The sequence below is a fragment of the Homo sapiens genome, chromosome 2 (genome assembly GCF_000001405.40).
Source record: "Homo sapiens chromosome 2, GRCh38.p14 Primary Assembly".
Lineage (NCBI taxonomy): Eukaryota > Metazoa > Chordata > Mammalia > Primates > Hominidae > Homo > Homo sapiens.
In genome coordinates, this window is record NC_000002.12 from 211,602,628 (window position 1) to 211,627,969 (window position 25,342).

Here is a 25,342-nt window from a genome sequence, read left to right on the forward strand (position 1 = left end):
ACATAGTACAGTTACTCTTGCCATGTTTAATGATTATTCACATTAAATGTCCCCCTCTTTAACCCATAGTATGGATTGCATTCTATCTCCTGATTGGGCATAGACTACTACAGATATACTTTCAGTGAAATGAAATACTAAACTAAGAAGGAGGAAGATATGGTATCCCCGAACTAAAGGATCTAATTCAGCTGAGAAGCAAAGGGGGATTCTGAATGACGAGAAAGAGAGAACTTAGAATTACAGCTGGGCCAATGACCTAGATATTACCCATCCAGACTGCAGCATGAGAGTGGAATTCTTAAGAAAGGATTTCTCTGTCCCGGCTCAGTGGCTCACGCCTGTAATTCCAGCACTTTGGGAGGCTGAGGTGGGCGGATCACTAGGTCAAGAAATCAAGACCATCCTGGCCAACCAAGATGGTGAAACTCCATCTCTACTAAAAATACAAAATTTAGCTGGGCATAGTGGCACACACCTGTAGTCCCAGCTACTCGGGAGGCTGAGGCAGGAGAATCGCTTGAACCCGGGAGGCGGAGGTTGCAGTGAGCCGAGATCGCGTCACTGCACTGCAGCCCGGGCGACAGAGCAAGACTCCGTCTCAATAAATAAATAAATAAATAAAGGATTAAAGGATTTCTCCCAGATAAGAAAGAAAAAGGAAAGAGTAACTGATAGATTTCCTGTAAGTATCTGACATTGGGCAAAAGAGAATTCGAGTCATACACTTCGGAAGAATTAGATGTAGGGATATAGAATATAAAGGAAAAAGGTCTTAATTAAATGATTACCAACAGTGAACAACACCTACATAGCAATCATACTGAAAAAAAATCATCCATTACAAAAGGTGAATAAGAAAAAATATATACATAAGAGAAAAATGAGGCAATGTAGCTTGAAATAAACATTTCTTTTGGTCTCTGGTTAGACTAGAAGTATTAATTAAGTTTTTAGCAGTCACTTATCAGGTTGCCTCTCAAGTTCCTCCCTCTCCCTTTTATTAATCTTGGTCTTCACTCAATGTACATGATAAAATTCCTGGACCATCAGCAGCCATTTTGAAAAATGGGATTATGCCCTCTTCATTTGATCCAGGGATGGGCACAATCCCAAAAGAGGCCAATGAGAATCGTTTTCCTAAACTCTGCTTCCTTGACTAGGGGTTAATGGAGGTACTTCACACAAGCTGGGCAGAAGCTGAGATACACGAGGTCTCTATAGATGCTTACAGTGTTAAATTTCTAGTTCCAGGTCATTCCTGAGGCATAGCTGTATTCCTGCTATTTGGGTTCCACCAGCTTTCCATGAATTGTTCAAGTGGGCATATTTAATTTACTTTCTTTTGATTGAACTATTACAGGATACCACATTTCTAAAGAAATTCTTTCTAATCTCTCAAAATATTCATTAGTTTATATCATTTTATGTTTTTTCCTTGACACACTGCAGATTGAGTCTTGTAGTCTAACATATAGGTCAATTGATGTTGCAATGGCAAATTAAAAATGCCAGTTATCAAGGATGAAATGTAAATACATTATTACATTCTGTAAGGTGTTATCGGTGCAATCAACACCCTGAGAGAAAGAAACATGATTTGAGACTCAGCTTATATAAACATAGTGGGTCACGAGATGTCCCCACATCTTGATTGAGCTTCTACCAATTTTTGCGTTTGTTTCCTGTTTCTTTAAACAGTGAAACTGATTTTGTTCTTACTTACATTTAAATTTCACCTTGAAATTATGCCACTGTTCCTTATCAAATACTGACATATTCCTAAATTTAAACACTTGAGAAGGATAAACCCAAATGATAAATATCACTTAGTAATCCTCCAAGGTCCCTTGTCCCTGAATACTTTATGCTCGACTGCTGATTTGTAAGTCAAATAGTTTAGGTGTATGCCAGTGTTCACAGTCAGTCTTATCAACCTCATAGCACAGAGACCTTGTAATGTAATATCTCATCACCAAAACGACAGTTAGATAACCTAGGATCATGCTTCAAAGAATGTCTTAGCTGGCAAATACATATTTTTCAACAGATTGTTTGGTTGACTTAAATATCAGAACTGTCTTTCACCAAGTCTTGATCGACCGACTGTTAACTTTGAACCAGCACTGCCTTGTTTTGAATGCATTTCACTTAAGGTGATGAAAATAAAACCCTGTAGTATTAATAGAAATACCTTAAAACCTTCATTTACTATCCACAAAATAACTATTTGGCATATATATAACCCTTTAGAAATCGAAACATCTTGTATCTATTTGAATTGCTAATGTGAAAAAAAGACATGCAGAGAAAATTCCTAAATAATAGGAAGTTCTTAAATACAGGCTTTCATTTTCTTATTATAAAAAGTTGGCACTAATTATGTAAGTCTTTCTGCTAACTTATAGTTTAAAGCTGGATGATGGTCTTTGGTGCTTTATTACCATGATGAATGGAAGAAAACGTATTCAACACACTTGGATCACAGTTAACAGACTACAGAAATTGTTTCTCTTTTTGTTCCTCTGATATTGTTTTATGAAGTTCAAGCTAATCAAAATCTAAATCTAAAAGGGAGAAAATAATTTATTGATTAGAAATGGGCAATGGTGCCTAAGCCCTGTAATGAGATGAATACTAAATCCACCAGAGGAACATTCTGAATGCTATTTTTACTCATTATAGGAAATGGTTATTGTTAAACCTTTGGAAAGAAGACTATAGAAAGATGCTTGGAGATGAGGGTCTCTTGAGACTTATCAGTAATTTCAGATGGAACATATTAAGAAAAAACAAGAGTTCTCACCCACTGTGCATCTCATTGCAACATATGCCCTGCTGCAGTCCTAATCTGAAGTCAACTAAAGTCTTGGTATATGTCCTGGAATTTATTTACCCCTAAGAGAGCTTACAGACATTGAAACTGAATTCACCACATCTGGTTCAAAAGTGTGTCATCCTGAAGGTAGCATTACTCAAAAGACAGTAAATAAATAGAGGCTATTTTCCCATAATATCCCAAGTTATATCACATGTAATTTAACAGATAATATGTATTTTCATACTATAGCTACTAAGTCATTATTATGTTTATTAGAACATGCCAGAAGTATAAAAATAGTATTTTATATTTATATAACACAGAATAGATAACAAGAATCATTTTTTTAACATCCTAAACAACCTAGGAGCAGTTACTTATTAATTTGCCTTTCAAAACCAGATTCGCTGGGCTCCCATTGAGCTCCCAACTTGTAGGTAGCAGGAGAATTTAGACCAAGATCTTTTATATCAAGATTCTAAATTCAGTATTTCTTTTACCTAAGAGGTCTCCTAATTAGTACTTATAAAATTCTCTTTAAAAGATTAAAATTGAAAAATGGAACTGCCCACTTTTAAAAATTTTACTGAATTCACCCAGGAGTTTAAATTAAGTAAATTTTAGACACAGATGATGGTAAATTTCTCTGTACAATAGACAAAGTATTAAATAAAAGAATGATAATCTAATGTAACAATTCTGTTTATTTCAGAAGCAGTGGAAAGACTTTATGCCTCATTAAGGGAAGTCTTTTGCTTCATTTTCAGTTAGAAAACCCTGCTAGCGGAATTATATCTGGGCTATTTCTAAATATTTCATTCTCATTTGTAAACGGGAATGTTATTTCCTTAATAGTTACACATGCCCATGAAGTACATAGAGAGTTCCTGTACATAAAAAAGATTACTAAAGAGATGTAGATATTATAAGAGAAAATAACCAGTGGGGAAATAAAGGAAATGTGGATTTGAAATAGAAAAGGAATATGGATTTGGAAAATTTTTTTTTCTATAGGCTGTTACTTTAAATGACAATTGAATTACCAAGTAGAAGAGTGGGTTTCTCTCTAATAAACCTATTGATATTATTTATGGATCTCAAAAGTATAAAGATACACTAAAAATGTTGTTATGGTCACTATATGTGAGATAATTGTATGTACAAGTGAAAAGAATAACAGAACATTTTCAAAATATATTCATACCCATAAACCCAGTAAAATAAGAGAATTCATAAATTTACCTTTTTAAAATCAACATTATATGAAAAACTAAAGAATATTGTATTTTGAAGCGCCGTTCTGCAAAAGAATAAAATGTGTTTTCTTTCGTAAGAGTATAGTAGCACATTCATTAAGTAAGTGAATGCTGCACATTTTGAAATAAATTTATTTTAAAGGCACTGGGTGCATTGTTTTAATCACAAGAGGAAAAACCTTTTCTGATGTTATACTCAAACCCCTTGTGTTCGCAAGTCTCCCAAAAAGCTTACACATGTTTCCTATGGTGAATTTTCCACATGCTTGCTAGAGCTGACAATTTTTAATTTACTGGTCAGATTTACCTATTATTTGTACGCATTATACTAGACATATTCCTGATTCACCAAAATTCTTTGTAGGGATAGAAGGAAATTATAGTCAATAGAGCTGAGGTCAAGTGGGCCCTTAGATCTTAATTATAACTTGTTTAAAAAAATAAGAAAAATGAAAAAATAACTGGCTCCCTTGGCTATTTTCTTACCAGGAAACAAATGAAAAAGGGAAATTTATTTCTGACCATAAATCCCAAATGTTTCATTTTCATTTTCCCCAAGTTAACTTTCTCACCTAGCTAAGCAGCATTTTTGCTATTATTAGCTTGTGGTCCAATATTAGCTGACCAGTATCCGTCAAACTCCTCAGTTCAATGAGCTCAGGGACTCCCAAAGAACTCTGTGTATGCAGACTTCTACTTACAGCTTCTAATTATTTTCTAACAGATAATGGAATATTTAATTCAGAGAGGTTAGATTAAATTTGTAAGTGGATCAAAACCCTAGATAAAGTTGCAGCAGCAAGGATCACTGTAGAAAACTCAAAGCTTTTTAGTTTTGAGATCCAACACCCTCACTGATTGCTTATTCGTCTGTGACGAACTGGTCTCATAATTGTAATCCTCAGAGGTGCTCATTTTTTTTCTAATCACACTATGCCATGCTATACATAAACTGTAAGCAACAGGCACCAAAAAGATGGCCTCTTAGGAGATGCAATAGCATTTTTTGGGAAAAAAACAAGCTATATATGTAGTATACATAGAATACTATGATTGTTTTAATAGACTCAAATAAGTATAGATTGTATGATAATCACTTCATGAAAAGCGTTAATGATTAAAACATTTATGCAATATTTATAAAAACTTTTTCGCATCAGATTTTTTTTTTTTTTTTTTTTTTTAGACAGGGTCTCACTCTGTCTCCCAGGCTGGAGTGTAGTGGTGCGATCTCTGCTCACTGCTGTCTTGACCTCCAGGGCTCAACCAATCTACCCACCTAACAAGCTGGGACTATAGGCATAAGCCACCATGCTCAGGCTCCAGAATCTTTTTTTTTTTAAATAAATTCAGAGGATTTGTGTGTGTATGTGTGTTTTAAGAAAGTTATACACAGTTTGATTTTCTAATCTGAGAGTAAGAGTGAGTAACATAAAATGTCATATGGAGCAATAATAAATAAGAAGAAAAAGATGAGGCCATCAACTGGCTTTGAACAGTAAGAATACCTCTTGAACAAAGCTTGATTTCCATCGATGCAGCGGGCAGCTGAAGGAAATCAGAAGAAAAACTCAGAAGAAACAAAACTTTTGACTGAACTGCCACAGGTATTGTTACATGTGGCCCACCTGCCTCTCATTTAATGTGATCTTTTGGAGGAGGCAGAGTAATGGTATGAGAAGCCAGTTGACTTTAGAGCTAGGGAACTTTCAGTTCAAATCCAGGCTCTGTCTTCCCTTATCGGCTTTGCAATGAGAACAATGATTTAAATACTATCTGTAAGCTTTATTCTTCTCTCAAAATAGGCATATTAATACTGGTTTGTAGGCATTCTTGTAGCCCAATATAGATACAAAGAATCATTTAATTCTTTATAATTTACAATTTTGATCTTAATGCTACATGTGGTTCTAGAAAATCTTCGGAAAATATTTCTGCTATTAATAGTGGATTCATGGTGGATAATGGAACCAAGGAATGCTAGGCTGATCCTTTTTCACCCTGGCTTTGGTGTGCAGTTGAGTTAAATTATTTTCCACTATACTCCATTTCCTTATTGTACAGATTAGCTCTTGTAATTAGAAAAGGGGCAGGAGGATATTAGTGCAAATAAAACCATACCTAAATTCACCCTTGTTTACATTAATATATTCAGTTAATTTGGATGGAAATCAGCCCACATGTGATCCAGGATTACTGACTTCTGCCCCTCAATGTGGAATCACTTTCTAAACATTAAGAAGATTTCTAGCAATCTGGGGTCATCTCTAACCCTCTACTTGAGAGAACCATTTTACTAACTATGACCATTCCTAAGGGTGATGATGGTATGCAGACTATACACCAGAATGAAGGCCTCAGCAGCAGCCCAAGAAGCAAAGGTTTTTCTCTGACTTTCTCCTGTCCTCCTGTCGCTCAGTCCCATTTTCCACCAAGGCAAGCCATAGAACCTAGAATCCCTCTTTCCCCAGACAGAGCATACAAATGAGAACCCCTTTTCCTGAAAGCCAGCCATAAAATCTGAAAATATTCTATGTAAAAACTGGCCATAAAAGAATGATCTGACCTACCTGTTTGACTGTAGGTCATTAGACCCACATTCCAGAGAGGGCCCTGCCCCCACACCCAGTAGGAAAGAATGCATGCTCAGAGAAATCAACAAGAATTTAGACAGACAGGCCTTGCTGGGTTTCCTCACTCAATTAATATTAGATCACACTCTTTCACACTCAATCATATTTCCATAAGTCTGGCTATACTTTTTTGAACCTAAGCATAAGAATGGACAATTTTCCCTGTATCTTTGGGTCTTCATTAAATACATTTTAAAGTCTTTTAATTAGGCATTTTTCTTCAGAAACAGGATCTTGCTCTGTCACCCAGGCTAGAATGCTGCACCAGGATCCTAGCTCATTTCAGCCTTGAACTGCTGCACTCAAGTGATCTTCTCACCTCAGCCTCCCACAGTAGCTAGGACTACAGGGGTAGGACACCATGCCTGGTAGAGATGGGGTCTTGCTACCTTTCCTCCTATTAATTTGCATCATGTCAGTGAGTTTTTAAGAAAAACCTTTAGGAAACCAAGGGCCTTGGCCCCTACACTGACAAAGTTCCTGTCCATGACTTAAGGACATAACCAGGTAAATAAAAACAGACCTATTGTCCATTTCTTTAGTTTCTGTCAGTCTATGGTTTGGAAATTGTAGACATAAACCTCTGACTGATAACAACAGTGGTGTTAAGTAAAATGAGGAATTCTCTTGATTATTTTGAGGAAACGATCATAAAAAATTTTCTAAGCTATCCTTGTAAAGTAGACGCTTTTGTAATACCATTTTTAGCAATGCCAGCCATGTGATCATTGTAATAAGTAATTACCCAACGGTATCATTAAACTTAAAAAAAAAAGATGAAGAGAATTTTTATCTTTTATCCACATACCATACATGTGTAAAGATACATATGTCTTTTTATTAGATTTTTAGATGTGTCTTTTTATTAGACTTATTAGATTTTATTAGATACATATGTGCCTATTGCAATTATCACAGCATAGTAAGCCTTTTTTCCCTTAACCAAATTACTGCCCTATGAATAACTAATTACTTCATGCCATATAATGCAAACCAGGACTTTATGCAGATAGTCCCTTCCTCCTGCAGGAACAGTATTTTGTATCCTTAACTCTGGAAACAGATCATTAACAAAACCATTGAGGTTTGACATATTGGAAATTGCTGATATTTTGGAAATTCTATTTTCTGGTGTTTGCTTGTCCTTTGGGCAAAAGATTTCTACCTGCATTTTATGAACAGCTGAATATTAGAAACTGTTCCTCCTAGTGATACAGTCAAACTGAGTGGGGATTTTTCCTAAGTCATCATAAGTATCGGTTGCTGTTCAGATTGGAATAAGAAATTGCACATGATTAGTTTAATTCTCTTTCAGCCCTATGTGGCATCATAACACATCCTCTAGTCATGTACAAAATTCACAAACTGTAGGTTAGAGAGCTGGAAAATACCTACAATATGGAAAACGATGTCTTCAACAGACAACTGATTTCCATTTACTAAATGCAAATATTGGTGCAGTAGACTATGTGCTCTTGAGAAATGTCCTTTCATTCACACAAATTCAAGAAATGCTTCGGAGAAACAGAGGCAGACAAAAAGTTAATTAAGTTACAGGTTGAGGCTTACGGAGAGCAACCTGTATTGGATCTGGATAGTCTCTTTTAGGTACTTCAATGGAGAAATTAAGCCTGTTGGAATGCAAAACTTGTCAAGCACTTTGTCTTAGTATCCCCTAAGGCAGTATTTAAAGCTCAAATTTTAGGATCACTACTAAATTCTGTTAACTCTCAACTGGAAATGCCTGCAGTCAACTGAGGGACTAAGTGGCTATGTTGGCTGGACTTCCTGGGTCAATAGGGACTTCCCTAAGGGGACTTTCCCCTAAGCCAAAATGAGCCACAGCTGCAAGCTAAGGGATTGAAACTTCAACCAATCATATAGGGAGTTTAAGCTACAGCTGCAGCCTGATGTTTTTAACCAATCGGGCCCGCCAACCCACAAGCAGATAGAAAATAAGCTAATTCTGTAGGACAGAAAAAGGAAAAGGGGAGGGGTCATAAGGGGATATAAGCATAAGACACCCAAGCCAGAAAGGCAACCCTTCTGGGTCCAAAGTAAGGTGTGGAAGCTTTACTTTTGCTTTCGCTTTACTTTTGCTTTCGCTTTAATGAGTCTTGCTGCCACACACTCTTTAGGTCCGCACGTTGCTCTAATCCAGCTGTAACACTTGCTGCTGTGGTTCACGGCTTCATTCCTTGAAACCCGTGAGACCACGAACCCTTCGATGAAGAAAAACCTTCAATCGAAAGAAGAATTTCATCTCACGACTGCTTTCATTTATTTATTTTTGCCAAAATCTGTGATAAAATCAACTTTATTTTTCTTTTCATCCTTGTATTCTCACTCTTACTGAAACAGAAAATAAAATAGAGAGGTCAAAAGGAGAAGAGATCCTGATGCACGTTTTAGCTGGAGAAGCAAACAGTATCCCAAATTACTACACAAGTCACCAAGAACTCAGAAGTAAGAAGCTAAAAATGAAACCTAATACTACCCTCCCATGTATAATGGAAACACTAACAGGCAAGCACTCACAAGATTCCCTTAAAACAGGTTCCCCTAATAGAAACTAAGGAAAGTTATTGGCCTATTGCATGCATAGGAAAAAATCTTCCAAGGGTCTTCCTCCTCAAAGGGTTTTCAGAGGGTACATGAATACCATGTCAAAACGGAAGGTCTAGTTCTCTGTGTTTCATCTGGCACTCTAAATTCAAGACAGATCTTAAATTGAGTTTGTAGAAATGAATCATATATGAGCACTATAAATACCTAAGAAAAATTATTCCAACTACAATATGCTAAATAAAGATAGAACAATTGGGAAAAATATCACAGAAATTAATTGGGCTGGTATAGAGAGGATGTAAAGGAGAATAATAAGTCTTTAAAACATGGAAAAAAAAATCAATTCAGACAATTAACCAAGTAGTTATTCTGTCTCCTATGTGCTGATATTGTGCTTGCTCATAGATATGCAGTGATGGAGTCAGCAGACATATTTGCTGTCATCAAGGATCTTGTAGTCTAGTGGTGGAGAGTGGAATTCTACAATTAAAAACTAAGATAAATAATATTAATATATAATAACTTATTAAAATTTCTGAGTACTATTAGTAAGTTATAACTTTAGAAATCAGGAAAGGGCTCTTTGAGAAAGCACACTTAAGCTGAGAAAATAAGGATAACTAGGAGTTCATTAGGTATGATTGGAAGATGAAAACTCCAGGTGAAGGCACTGACTGGCTTGGCTTATAAGGGGAGTGGAAAGAAAGTCAGTGAAGAGAAAGACTATTGGAAAAGAAATCAGGAGCTCTGTAAGCTAAGAATCTGATATTTTACTTTAGTAAAGCCACTAAAGGTCTCATGCAGAGGACCTGCACAATTCAAGCTTTGTATTAAAAAGTAGGGAGATCAAATCTAGTCTCATAACTTAAGCTGAAGAAGTTGAGGGCTGAGATTAAGATGACGACAAAAGAGTATAAAAAGAAGAGGAAATTGTCCAGATGTGTTTTTGGCATAGAATCAAAGCATTTACTCTCGAATTGGAGGTTGGTTGTTTGTGGGGTTGTGACATTCAAGGATAAATTTCAAATTTCTGGTAGGGACAATAGGGTGGATACAGATACAAAATATATAAATGGGTGAAATCGAAGGCAGAAGAGATTGAGAAGAGTGGATGAAGGCATCTATTCAAGGTGTGCTAGACTTGGGACGTCCCTGAGATTTCCATGTGGCAATATTAAGGATGGAGACAAGGTCAGATTCACAAAACAGACTAGAGATGGAACTTGGTAGTCTAGTGAGATGATCTAGGAAAAATTTATAGATTGAAAAGAAGTCTAGAACTTTGCATTGAGATATTTCAATATTTCTGATATTGCTTACTGCCTGTATGATTTTAAGAAGCAGGAAAGTTGAAGATTTTTTGTAAGAACATGGTTACAATGATGGTCCATGAATCTAAGCGGGCTGCAGAGAGATGTGAGATAGGAAGCACTGAGGGATCGTGAGACAAAGGAGAGTCAGTGAAAGGAAAATGAACTAGAAAGGCAGGAGAATGTAGCTGAAGATGGAGATATTTGAAATAGTAATTTCAAATGTGAGGCTCCTGCTGATTGCTTACTAGTTCTAGAGACAACCTACAAAATGGGAGAAAATATTTGCAAACTAGCCATCTGACAAGGGTTTAATAACCAGAATATATAAGGAGCTCAAACAATTCTATACGAAAAAAATCTAATAATCTGACCAAAATGTGGGCAGAAGACTTGAATAGACATTTCTCATAGGAAGACATATAAATGTCAAATAGGCATATGAAAAGGTGCTCAATATCACTGATCATCAGAGAGCTGCAAATCAAAACTACCATGGGATATCTCACCCCAGTTAAAATGGCTTAATACTTACATCCAAGACAGGCAATAACAAATGCTGGCAAGAATGTGAGGAAAAGGGAACCCTCATACACTGTTGGTGCAAATGTATATTAGTATAACCACTATGGAGAACACTTTGGAGGTTCCTCAAAAAACTAAAAATTGAGCTACCATACGATACAGCAATTCCACTGCTGGGTATATACGCAAAATAAAGGAAATCAATATATCAAAGAGATATCTGCACTCCTATGATTGTTGCAGCACTACTTACAATAGGTTAGATTTGGAAGCAACCTAAGTGTCCATCAACAGATGTAGGAATAAAGAAAACATGGTACAAATACACAGTGGAGCACTATTCAGCCGTAAAAAAAGAATGCAATCAAGTCATTTGCAAAGCTTGGATAGAACCGGAGATCATTATGTTAAGTGAAATCAGCAAGGCAGAGAAAGACAAACATCATCTGTTCTCATTTATTTGTGAGATCTAAAAACCAAAACAATTGAACTCATGAAGATAGAGAGTAGAAGGATGGTTACCAGAGGCTGGGAAAGGTAGTAGGGGGCTGGGGATGGTTAAATAAAATAAAATGTAAAAATATAAAGAATGAATAAGGCCTACTATTTGATAGCACAACGAGGTTACTATAGTCAATGGTAACCTAATTGTGAATTTTAAGATGACTTAATGAGTGTGATTGGATTGTTTGTAACTCAAAGGATAAATGCTTGAAGGGATAGATACCCCATTCTCCACGATGTGCTTATTTCACATTGCATGCCTGTATCAAAACTTCTCATGTACCCCATAAATATATACACCTGCTCTGTACCCACAAAAATTAAGAATAAAAAATCCACTATTAGTATGGAACAGGATATAGCTAAGAGTTACTATGTGAAGCCATACACATGAAATTTTATAATGTGAAAATGTTATAGAACAAAATACCTTTTCAAATAATTTTATAAGCCTGTTATACTCTAAGAGAAAATGTAAACTGATAAATTATATTCATTTCACTTGATTAATGTAATATCAATTAGATTTAAAATAATTCCCATCAAGATACTGCATATCAAATGGAAATATGGAGAAGAGAAACATACAAAGACTATTCACATGAACATTTCTTCAGAAAATAGGATAACAGCAGTTGTGTAAGATAAATAAAATTTCCTATGGTATATATAGAGAAAAACAAGCTATTCTTTTTAATAAGAATATTACCATTTACATAATAAAGTCAGATGACTTAAAACACTTTTCCTTGCAGTATCTCACTGTGGTAAATCTGGTGTGGAAAAGTTGAAACAAAAGCCAAAAAAATTCATGCGAATGCAAAGCCATGACTGTTGAGTAGTCACTAGAATTGAGAATAATTACATAATTTCTTTCATTTTTTTTAAGAAAGCAAGTAATTTAGATAAAACATTTAAAAACAGTCAACTGTTACTAGGTTTAAATACTGGGGAAAAATACAGAGTGAAGGGAACTCAGAAAAAGTGAATAGTCTGTCTGATTTCATGAGATAGTGGTGCCCAATTTTAAGAATCTTGTTCAATAGCATCATTTCTTATGTATGTGTTCTGCACCATTTTGTGGATTTAAAAAAAAAAGAAAACAAAAAACAACAAAAAAGCCTGCATTTTCCCTGTGAAATGGTTCTGTCTGAAACAAGAACTAGGAGCAGGTGTAAATGCAGGTATTCTTATGAAGGTGCGCCTTTAGAGTCATTTTCTTAATGTTGTTCAATATGATCTTTCTTTATGGGAATGAAGAATGTACTGGTCATTCACTAGCAGTGTGTTATTATTGTCATTATGAATCCATTAGACATATTCGGGTGAGCAGAGTAACAGCCCTGGGTGACCAAACTCTCCTTCTCTTGCTTTTAGTGTAGCATTTAATAGAACACAAACTGCCCCTTATTTATTTTTTGCCTATGGTAAAAATTCTAAGAAAATATAAAAGTCCTCTCCTTTACCCTTGAATATCAATAGAAGTTTCATTGTGGTGATAAATTTTGAGTATTAAGTTGCCACATTTGTGTTATTTATTATAATAACCAGTAAAGCACAGCTATGTGTGATGAATAGAGTAGTGGTTATTGAATCTAGAATATTCTATTTCAAGCATAAAGTTAGAGTGGAGAAAAGGGAGTCTAATGATTAATAAGATTGTGCAATTTCCATTGTCTTTGAAAGCTTTTTTCCCCTGAAGAACTGTACAAACAAGCATACAAATACAAATATGCACATACGCTAGTTTGCAGAAACATGGTTGCAGCAGATCTTATTTAGCTTGAAAGTTATCCTTGGAACACTCTACCATAGTGTTATACCAGATGACCCCCACCCACCTTTCTTTGCTTGACAGCTTTCTCTTTCCACTGAGCCTATTTTGCCATCCTTGGCTGGAAGGATATGTAGGGGGTGAAGTGTGGCTCTTTCCCAGCAGCTCTACACCCTCAGCTCCCTTAACCCTTGAGTGGGGTAATTTTGAGGTGTATGTCCTACACTGGCTGCCAGAGTCTCTCCAGTGAAAAGAAGCTCCAGTCACTTACAACGGCAGCTAGCTTTATTAGTTCTCCTGTCTTATTTCTAAACTCCCCCATTGATGAGTCCTTCACCTCCAAAATAAATGACTTTCACATTCTTATTTCAAGGGTAGCTTCTGCATCTGTAAGAACCCAAACTAACACAAGTTAAACTTATTACTTTTAACCAAGTAACTCTGGAATATTTATAATTTCAACTCAACCCTTAGATTCAAATTACAAATAATTTTTCTTGAACCTACCTCTTTTTTGTGGTTTGTTATTCAAATACTTTTATAATGATCTACACACATAACCAATGAGCTAAAAATGTAGGTATGAAATATAGGCTTATGTTTATGTTAAAATTAGAGCAGCCTGCATTAGATACTAAATTCACCGTTGATGTTGCCAGTTAAACTGCATTTTAATCATTGTGATGCTATCCTTCTAATGTTTTGAAAGAAGTCTCGAAAATAGTAGGACATGTTTCTGCCTGGTACTTATTAAACTCTGCTGATAGCTGTCCATCAATCTGTTAATCTTCCAGCATCTATCCACAAGAGAAAAGGCACAGTCAAAATATTTTCTTTAACTTTTTTTAACTTTTAAAGAGAACAGAGTCTTCTGAATCTGTTGGTTACCAAATCCATCAACCATCTAGGAAAATGACTCCTTTCATGGCTCAACCAGAGCCTCATCTAAAATTCAGCAGAAATCTAAGACTTCAAGCTGCCATCTCCACTCTTGTTTCCATGGGAATATACATCAGATCAAGAAAAAAAATGGATGGGGTTAGGAGCTTTCAAATAATCATTCAAAATCATGATGAGGATTTTAGAGATTTTTTCTTAGGTGTGATTATTTTGTAGGCTCTTAACCCCCTTTTGCCAGTCTGTTTCCATGGAAATATGACAAAAATGTCTGTTCAAGCCTCCAGCAGAGATTATTAGCATTCTCATGAATTTCAGCTTTGGCTGTAGTCTAGGCTGGCAAGATTTTTTCTACCAGTTTTATAAATTAACCTATACTGTTTCTACTCTTTGTAATTTTCCTTTATAACTTCTACTTTTTAAAAAATTTCCCTTCACAAATTTATAGTTATGATCAAGATCAAATTGAATAATTGGCATATCACTGAAAAAGGCTTCAGTTTTAAATTTTAATATATGAGCCAGGACATGTAGCAGTGGCGTGTCAGAAACTTTAGAGAACTGGAGAAAGAAACAATATTTAGTTTTTGGCCTTACTGTTATATAGATGCCGGTAGATATGCAACAAGGTGATATTTAAAATATTTAGCAACTGGTAAGGCATGAAACCAACCAATCCGAAAAGCTGGTTTGTACAGGCTGATTATCAACCTACTATATGAGAACCAATAATAAGATAGGCTGAAAGTAGTTTTATATAAAGTAGTTAGCATTATACATAAATAAATTATTCAAGGTCAAAGACAGCTCCTGTAAAACTTGTAAAGGAGCTTACAAGAGAAACTGGATAGAGATATATAGCAATTCATCTTTTAAAAAAATCAGAGTGCATATGCTTGCATCATTTTTCATATGAAGGTCATTTGAAAATAGAAATCATTCTTATTACTCAAGACATTATGCTAAAAGATAGAGAAAGAACATATATGGTCTTTGATAGAACCCCTGGCAAGATGTCTTGTATTGAATGTGAAAAAATAACGGCATGATAAATACATAATTTTATTCCATCCTACTCTGAAATTTGCTGACCGGTTCAAATCTACAATTTTTGCTAGGGGAAATCTTCAAGTTCTGATTGACCTTAAAAAGTACTTTTTTACTCATAGTTGGAGTTTTTTAACCCATAGAGTCTTTTCTTCTGAATTTGAATTAAAAAAATAAATGTCAAGGGGTAATTACTTGACTCAGGTAGGTTCTTAATTTAAATTTAACAGAGACTAACTTGCTATAGAAACTAATCTTGATTGATGTTTTCAACTAAATAGATCATAACCATAATAAAATAAAACAGTATGGTTAATTTTTCAAATTATCAATTTTAGCCCCTGCTTTCCCCTTAGGCAACATCTGGCCTGCAGCTTATTTATGTAAATAAAAAGTTTTATTGGAACAGTCACACCCATTTGCATTAGTTTTTGTTTTGTTTGGTTTTGCTTTAATTATCTATGGCTGCTTTCCTACCAAAAAGAGCAGAGTTGAGTTGCTGCCACAGAGAACACGTAGCATATAAAAGCCTGACTATAATCCAGCCTTATAAAAAAAAAGTTTACTGATACCTACTCAAGCTTGGCTTCCTGAACTCAAAGTCTAGACCTGCCATTTTCTAACTTTCTAACCTTGGGGTAACCTTGGGTTAACCCCAGGTTCTTGGTCTGTCATATTTTGAGGAATAAGTAAATTATTATTTGTGAATTATTTGTAACAGTGTTTAGCACTTAGCAAATACTTTGTAAATATTAGTGACTTATTACCACCACCACATAGTCTTTCTAACACTCTTCAGTGCAACTAATTTTAAGAAATATACACATGAGCTTTGGTTATTAAATGCAATTGGTTTTCCGTTGAAATTATGTATTGCTCTCACTGGAGGGCTATTTGGTTATATTTAACAAGAAAATTTAAGAACATTACATGTCTGAATCAATGTAGATAATTCACCTTGGGGACTGTAAATATCTTGAAACTCTAAAGGCAAGTTCTAGTGACCTATCTAGGCAGACAGTTGTGAAGCAAAAGTGATCTAAAAAGTATAATACAATGTGAATTGGTCTTAGAAATGTCTTTAATTATAAGATTATAATATTTCCATAAGAGAAATTTGTAAGTTGTGGAGTTTGGTTTTGTTTTGCTTTAATTATCTAAGCAGGCTATTTGATAATGGAGAAAAATGTGATTGCCTGGGTGTCTGTACTTACATCCATGAACTCCACATTTGCCTTGGGACCAGTTGTCTCATTAAGAATCTTAATAGCCACAGGAATCTTCACAGTTTCTCCTTCAGGTACCCAAATACCCTTTGGGGAAAAAAATTTACATTAAATATGACATCTCAACCTATTAAGTTCTTACAAAGTAACTTAGAAGTTTGATATTATAACATTCAATCAACAAATGTTTATTTAGCACCTGTTACATGTTACAAGTTACTCTGCAACTTTGTTGTCTGCTTTCATTATCTGAGGATGTTGCTCATATACATGATTACATATATAGAATATAGAATATATATCCTTTCAAGATGTTTACACTACTGTCAAATTCTACTTGTGTGCATGAAAAAGGCTTTGAATAGTGAAGACAGCATGGAAATAGGATAGCAAAAGAATATCTGATTTGGATGGTATCATCGACTTTTTGAGATGGTTGCTCTACTTTTTGAAGCTCAGTTGTATCATCTGTAATTTAGAAGACTGGGCTAAGGAATGTTAGAGGTTCTTCTCAGGCTGAATATTATCTAAATATTCAGCAGCAAGAAAAACAATTAAAAAAGCATATTCTCATGTTCTTCAAGTTCAGATTGATTTATGAATTAATTTTCAAGAATGAATATTTAAGATTTATTTTTCAAAGGCAAGTGCTAGGGGATATTGAGCACATATTAATTTGTCTACATTATTAAAGCATGTGTATATGTGTGTGCGTGAAGGAATTTTATTATCTCTGAAGAAATATAAAATATTTATATTGGCCGTTGTTAGTTCTCTTTTCCTATCAAAATATAATTATAATATCTGAACAGGATTTATCCCTTGGGAAAGTATAAAGTTGGTAGAGTTTGAGTGAAATACAACATTAAGCTAAATAATAGCATTTCTGGGTAAAGTGAATTATAGCATTTGAATGAGGACAATGATTTTGATAAGACATACAAGGATGCACAGGTTGTACAAGAATACATTTTAAAAGGTGTATTTTCCCAAATGAACGCAAAAGCAAATATGAGAGCATGAGGACAAAAACCGAAAAATCTCAAATTTTAGCTTCTTAGCCCTGACATCAGAAAATATTTCTTATAAGATTTTTAACATTAAAATGAAAGAATGAAAAATAATAGTTTGTTATTCCTGAACAAAACATCTTTACTTCCTGTCTTTCTTACTATCAGCTAGTTATAGTCATAAAGAAAAAAAATTCAAAAAGTTTTTCACTTTGAACTTTTATGCTACAACATATGTATTTGTGTTACTCAAAGTTGCAGTATCATCAGGAGACCTGAACACAAGAATTATTTTAAAACATAGTAACAATAATAAAGAAAATAAAAGATTTTAACTTTTAGAAAGTGAATTTATGGTTGCATTCTTCCTAGGCAGAATGAATAGGGAAATCTATGTGCCAAATGCAAAATAATAAGCCAAGTTCCTTGCAAAAAATTAAAAAGAAAATAAAGCAGAAACAGAAAAAAGAAAACAGCCCAATACTCAAAGGCTTCATTTTCTCACTGATGTTATCTAGGGTGGAAAACAGGCTTATTATTCATTATTCAATAAAGTAACCACAGAGAAGATTACTTTATGAAGACATGGCATCAATATTAAAGTATCCCTAAAGTGTAGTTTTAAAATAATATAGGCCAGGCATGGTGGCTCATCCCACCACTTTGGGAGACTGAGGCAGGAGGGTCTCTTGAGCTCAGGAGTTCAAGACCAGCATAGGCAACATAGAGACATTCCAACTCTACTAAAAAATAAAAAAATTTAAAAATGAGCTGAGTGTGCTGGCACATGCCTGTGGTCCCAGCTACTCAGGAGGCTGAGGTGGGAGGATGGTTTGAGCCCAGGAGGTTGAGGCTACGGTGAACTGTGATTAAACCACTGCCCTCCACCCTGGCCTACAGAGCAAGACCCTGTCTCAAGAATAAATACATAAATAAAATTAAATAAGAATATAAATTCAATGTAAAGTATTTTATACTTCTTTTTAAAATAAATATTTATTAAATTATTCTTTTTTTTTCATTATTTCATTCATTATTTCACTATTTTCTGGGACTGACTAGTTAAAAATTTTACTATCTGATACACATGATATTGGTCCTAATCTTTATACTTAAACAGAGAATATTTCTAATTAGGAGAAAAAAATAATCAAATAATTGGTTAAGCCAATTTGCACTTCTATGGTCAAGAATAATCCTTTATAGTTTAAGACAGTATGTCTTCATAACAACTGATCTATTGATTAAAACTTAGAGTCAACCATAGACACTTTCATTACAAGTAATTTCAATTAGGGTAAAACACTCATGCACAATAGACAAATAAATGCTCTTAATACAAGTTAATAAAGCTTTATTATTAAATGCTTAAATGGGTAACATTTTTCTCTGCTGAGGACATTAGATAGTGTTTAGTCTTGAGTTATAGGGTATCCAAGGTTTAAAATAAAATTTAATTTACAGACCACATTATCTTTAAAAATATAGGAGTGATTATACTCTAGGAACAATGTAAGATTGAGTTATCTTAAAAATGGAAGTACGTTATAATACATTTAAATTTTTCCATTTATCTCTTTTTTTCTCCCTATTTCTGTTCTTCATAAACACATAAATTTGCCTACTTGCTTTAAATTTTGTCAATGTCACATGCAGAATTGGTAACAGGCAGGAAGCCCTAATATTTTTCTACTGACTTGTCCTATGGTTCAGCACAGAAGCCTTCAGTTACATCTGTGAATACGGAGATTTGTAGCATTTACTAGATAATTCAGGTGGGGAAAAATCCTGCAATCAATCATTAGAATGGGAATTTATGGCATAGCTAAGTGATCCAGAATGATTGTCAGTATGGATCAAATTCACAGCAGTACTTTCAATTTGTCAATTTAAATAATCAAGACTGCAATTTAGGACTCTACATTTATTATCCACATAATTCGTTGATATTTTATTGTAGAAATGAGTACAGATTAAAATTATTAAAGATGTAAATACAATTGCAGTAAATAGATACAAACTTTAAGGATATAAAATGATACAGTCTGAGTCTGTTTTTTTCTAGCACAATCTAAATTGAGAAACAGAAACATTTGTTTCTTTGAACATATACAAATCTGAAGATGAGAAAAGGCATCAAGTCAGCCTAGAACAGTGCCTATGCAAAGTAGGTACTCAAATTTTTGTCAAATTAAGATCAAATTTAATTGAATAAAATATGCATACTAAAAGATTAGAAAACTTCTGCATTTTGACCTTAGAATACAAGTTTTATTTTAAGGATATTAGATTATTTTGGAGCACTTGGAGAGAAAAATTAAGGTTTATATTCTAATTATTAATATTTTTTGTTAAATAAATCTCTGTTTTAAATAGAAAAAAATGAATATTTCAAAATGCAACATTTCTAAGATCCAATTAACTTTAACAGATATGTTTGTAAAATGTAGGCTTACACATAGCTTTAAGAAATATATTAAATGCCAGCCGGGCATGGTGGCTCATGCCTCTAATCCTAGCACTTTGGGAAGCCAAGGCGGGTAGATCACTTGTCAGGAGTTCGAGACCAGCCTGGCCAACATGGTGAAACCTCATCTGTACTAAAAATACAAAAATTAGCCAGGCATGGTGGTGAGTGCCTGTAATCCCAGCTACTGGGGAGGTTAAGGCAGGAGAATAGCTGGAACCTGGGAGGAGGAGGTTGCAGTGAGTGGAGATCACACCATTGCACTACAGCCTGGCCAACAGAGCGAGACTCCATCTCAAAAAAAAAAAAAAAAAAAAAAAAAAAAATATATATATATATATATATATATATATATATATATATATATATATATATATATAAAATGCCAAAGTAACTTTTGGGAATTGTAGTAATGGATATTACAAGAATAATTCAGCATTTGCCCAGAAGAGTTTCTTAATCTTGTTATTTACCATTAAAATAAATTTCACCACAATTAATCTTGGGCCTAGCCTCTGAATTGGTCCTGTAATTAAGGCAAATAAGTAAACATACACATGCCATCATTTGAGCTTTTCCTTTCCAGAAATATCTCTTATTGAAAACACATGATGTCATCTTTTCCTCCTATCTGACCTCAATTTTGCATATAATGTCACATTTTTAGTTTGCTTATGATGACAAAGACATCAAAACCATGGAAATTATTTACAAAATCATAAATGTAACCAAGTAGGCAAAAAATGATTTAGAAGCTAGTTCCAACCTATTAAGACATCAGCATATTTGAATGGATTCTAAAAAGATCAGCTACTAGGATCCTGATGGAGAGGCGTTGGATAAAAAAGCAGAAGAGAAAAAGAATAAAGGATTATGGTATATTGCCCAGGCATGTCTGGGGTTCATGGAGCACTGTGTAGGGGTAATGGCAAATGGGTTGGGGCTTGATAGTTGGATAAAAATAGAAATTTGCCAAAAGGAATATGACATACGGGGCTCAGAAAGGTATTAAGAAAAAAACTATACTTGGCTTTGTATCAGAGTTTCTTGCTTTTCTCTCAAGACTGTATCCGTCCCAGCTCATTCAATAAAAATTAATGAATTCATTTGTGCAGCAACTTCTCAATATTATAAAAGTCTTCCTTTCTGAATATTATAAGAAAATTAGGTTGTCTAAAGTAATAACTCCATTGGCTATTATTTTCTAAACATCTAAAACAAAACTTAACTAACGATATGCGTTGTTTTTTACTTACTTTATAAACCGTTCCAAAAGCACCTGAGCCAAGGACTTTTACCCTCTTCAGCTCAGTTTCTTTCAAAATACGAAGTTGAGCTTGATTGGGTGCTGTGCCACTGGGAGTTAATGGTTCCACCAACTGCAAAGCGGAAAGAAGAAGGTTATACTTTCAGTCCGATAGTCAGTCCTCTCTCTCTGTCTCTCTCTCTCTCTCTCTCTTTGGTTCTCTTTCTTACAAAGAAAAACACACCAACTTGGTTTGCCTTGACAACCAATACCTTCGTAATATGCACCACTCACCATTCACTGACACATTTATGCATTCTTTCAGACCCTGTCCTTTCTCTTCTCCTGCTCTTTGTCAGGGCAAACACAAGTAACAAATGTGCACCTACCTTGAGGCATACTAGGCTACGAGATTTGATGCATTAAAGAAGGAAATGCTGCCTTCTTAGAGCTTAAAATATACCTGGGAAGCCAGGACAAATGTGTCAGAGGAGAGGGGAAAAAAACGCACAATGCCAAAACCCTAGGACAGGGCTGTTAAAACTTTAGTGTATATCTGAATTACCTCAACTTCTTGTTAAATATAGGTCCCGGTTCAGCAAGTCTGGAGTAGGCCTGAAATGTTTGCATTTGCATAGAACTCTAAGGGATGCCTAGGTACCATGGTGATCCTCGAACACATTTGAAGTACCAAGGCCCAAGTTTACCTGTTAAATCAATAGTTCTAAAATTCTATGATTTGATTCTGCATCATAAGTGAATGCTATGAAATGCAAGGCATCAAACAACTACTGGGGAGTGAGGCTCACTAGTTTTGCCTTCCTAAAGAATGTACACTTTAAAATCAAGTCTTGAGATGTCTAAGTCTTGACATAATGAAAATGGGTTGGTATTGGGAGGGCCACTGTGAAAAGCTGCTTGGGCACAGCAAGAGGGAGGAGGAGGAAGAAATATAGCAGAATACAACAGGGAGTGGGACTGGTCAGAAGGGTGAGAGTACGGTGGGAAACCTACATAATCACAGGGGGGGCTGGGTGTGGCCAAAGTAGTAAAATTAGGCTGATAGTTTTAGACGTCATCATTGCGTTGTGATTCAGTTAGGGGGAATGAATGAGAAGGGGGCAAGTATGTGCATGCGTGCCAATCACTGGCATATGTGAGAAAAAAAAAAAGTATGTCTAAGAGAGGCTCTGGGTACCAAAAAGCCTGTATCCTATGTTAAAATTTTAGGTTTTTATCTATGTATGAGTAAAAGGGCAAGTGCAAGAAATAGGAGTTTCTTTGTCTTTTAAAAGTTAAATTAAGGAACTAAACTTTACAAATAGTCTCTTTTATTTTTCCAGCATAATAATCAAAGGGTACTACTACTCAAACTGTCTTGAACCCACCACAGTAATTCAAAATCTCTATCTCCAAAGCTAAGTGCACTGTGGCCCTGCAGCTTGGGTATGAATTACCATGCTTCTGTGAAAATAACGGCCTACTTAATTAGTGGAAGATTCTTGATTGAAGGTAAATGTAGCTATAGCAAGAATTTTAGGAAGAACGTAATAAAAAATTGCCAATAAACTTAGGTTATCTTCAAACTCTTCTTTAATTGTGAGTTTGACAACTCATCTTCAATTTCATTTTCAAATTTAAGTTATATAAATGTAAATTTGATAACATAGAACTGCATTCAAGTCACATTTTAAAAATCTCAGAAAGAATCACTAAATTATTTGTTAAATTTCAAAATGATTGCTCAACTGAGTTCCCTTCATTTGAAGGCAACTCAACCATACAGGAATTGTTGGGTAGATTTTGATACATATGCTATATGTATAATGAATAACTTATGAATCATTTTTAAAAATCATATACAAAAGTTACATAAAATCACACAAAATACTGGGAGGGGGCTTCAGCATTTTGGGTGAGATATACATAAAATATACATTGTGTATATGCCTTGGCATATACCATGCAATAATTGCATATTTTGAAAACTTCACAGTTCTACCTGAGCTTTTCAGTCTTCTTTAATTTTCTTGGGTATCATTTAATATATTTCACAAAAACATGTTTCTGTATCATTTAATATATTTTACAGACACATGGGTTTAAATTTGGAGGTTTATATGACAGTGTTGCCACTCACAGGAAGCAATTTGCCCTTCCTAAACCTTTATTTCTTATCTGTGAAGTAGGTGTAGCAATAATTACCTTAGAAACTTGAGAAAGGATGAAATGAGATAACATATGTGGAAAATTCTAGAACATTGCCTGGCATATTGTAAGCACTAAATCTGTTACTCTTCAAGGGATGAGATCATGTCTCATTAATATATTTTTGAATCACACCATCTACCAAAGCATCAAGCTTACAGTGCATCTCAGTAAGCATGTGTGGAAAAAATATGTTTTATAGTTTTATGCATGTAACATAAAAAAGACAATCTGGAACAAAATGATTTGAGGAACGTGTACCATCTTTAAGTGTATGCAAACAATATATCAAGATTCAACAAATGTTCACTTCTGAGGCAGATTTCTAGCTTCAGTATTTAAAGATTTAAATTGACTATCTTAAAAATTCCCCCTTTATTTAGATGGTGGTAGAAAATCATATTTTCTTTTACTAAGAAAAAGATAGGGATTCTACGATTATCTAACCACCAAATGTAAAATAATTTAGTCTTAAAGAATAATTTTCTATAAAAACAGAACCTGCTTATAAAACCAGTAAGTGGGCCGGGCACAGTGACTCACGCCTGTAATTCCAGCACTTTGGGAGGCCGAGGCAGGCGGATCACGAGGTCAGGAGATCGAGACCATCCTGGCTAACACTGTGAAACCCTGTCTCTACTAAAAATACAAAAAAATGAGCCGGACGTGTTGGCGGGCGCCTGTAGTCCCAACTACTCGGGAGGCTGAGACAGGAGAACGGCGTGAACCCAGGAGGCGGAGCTTGCAGTGAGCCGAGATCGCGCCACTGCACTCCAGCCTGAGCGACAGAGCAAGACTCCATCTCAAAAAATAAAAATAAAAATAAATAAAAAAAATAAAAAAAAAAAAGTGTGTGTTTATTTAGTAAGGAAATGACGGTTTGAAGGACATTCTTATAAAGCACTGCATTATAAAAACAAACCAAGATAAAGCAACACAACTCTTTTCACGGCAATGAGCCTTCCCTGTGTGTGGTTAAGGTAATTTCTCTTCCATTCTGCAGTCACCTAAATGTACACTGCTATTCCAAGCTTTCCTTTCCAACTGTAGTTTACAATACTTCATTTCCAGAATTCTCTCACCAACTGCCTCAAGCTGGCCATGAGGAAGAATTCTCTCTGCCTCCAGCATCCTAGCTAAACTGCAAACATACATAGCACAAAGCACATGTGTTGTGTCCAAACTTTCATTCACATGTGCAAGATTGAAAGTAATCAAATTGCTCTTCAATAAGCTTCCAGCTAAAGTAGGAATCACTATTAGGTTTTCCCATGTATGTAATTGACTACCTTTATTTTGCTTGAACATGTCTATTCATGAGACAGCTCATTCCAATTGCAGATAACTTTATTCCCTAGAAAGTGTTTTCCTAGAAGCAGCTGTAAGGTAGTTTCCAGAAACTTTCACAGGATACTTCTATCTAGATTTGATTTCTGGGTAAAAAGAGCTAAAATTTAATTCATTATCGGTATGCAAAATGTGTGAATGAATTAAAATTCCCATTCCTCCCATTCCTGTCAGTGTTCAAAGGAGAAGTGAAATTGTCAGACTGACAATGAGAAAAACAACAAACGTTGGATAAGCTTATCTCAGAACAGAATTACTGTGAATTGTTTAGATAGGCACAGATGTGTATATCAGGAGAAAGGTAAGATGGAAGTTGAGAAGGGTCTGGTAATTCATAGTCTTCTGTAATTGTTTCTTCCCTGTATCCTGTACCATGAACACTATCTGCTTTTATGCTAGAGAACTCAGTGTAGCAATATAAAAGACATTATAATCATTCATGAGTAATTTACATACTCACAATAACTACCATGCATAATATTAAATGCATCCCATAAATTGTG

At 34.9% G+C, this 25,342-nt stretch overlaps 1 protein-coding gene across 11 annotated transcripts in view; it reads right to left on the reverse strand.

Annotated features, from left to right (window-relative positions):
• The window catches only part of ERBB4 (erb-b2 receptor tyrosine kinase 4), a 1,163,086-nt gene that overhangs the window by 226,911 nt on the left and 910,833 nt on the right, over positions 1–25,342 (reverse strand). For all 11 annotated transcript variants that reach the window (NM_001042599.2, NM_005235.3, NM_001439006.1 and 8 more), the window contains 2 exons: positions 21,295–21,417; positions 16,550–16,648 (listed from right to left, as the gene is read on the reverse strand). In NM_001042599.2, coding sequence (NP_001036064.1) covers positions 16,550–16,648; positions 21,295–21,417 — 222 coding nt within the window. The remainder of the gene's footprint in view (positions 1–16,549; positions 16,649–21,294; positions 21,418–25,342) is intronic.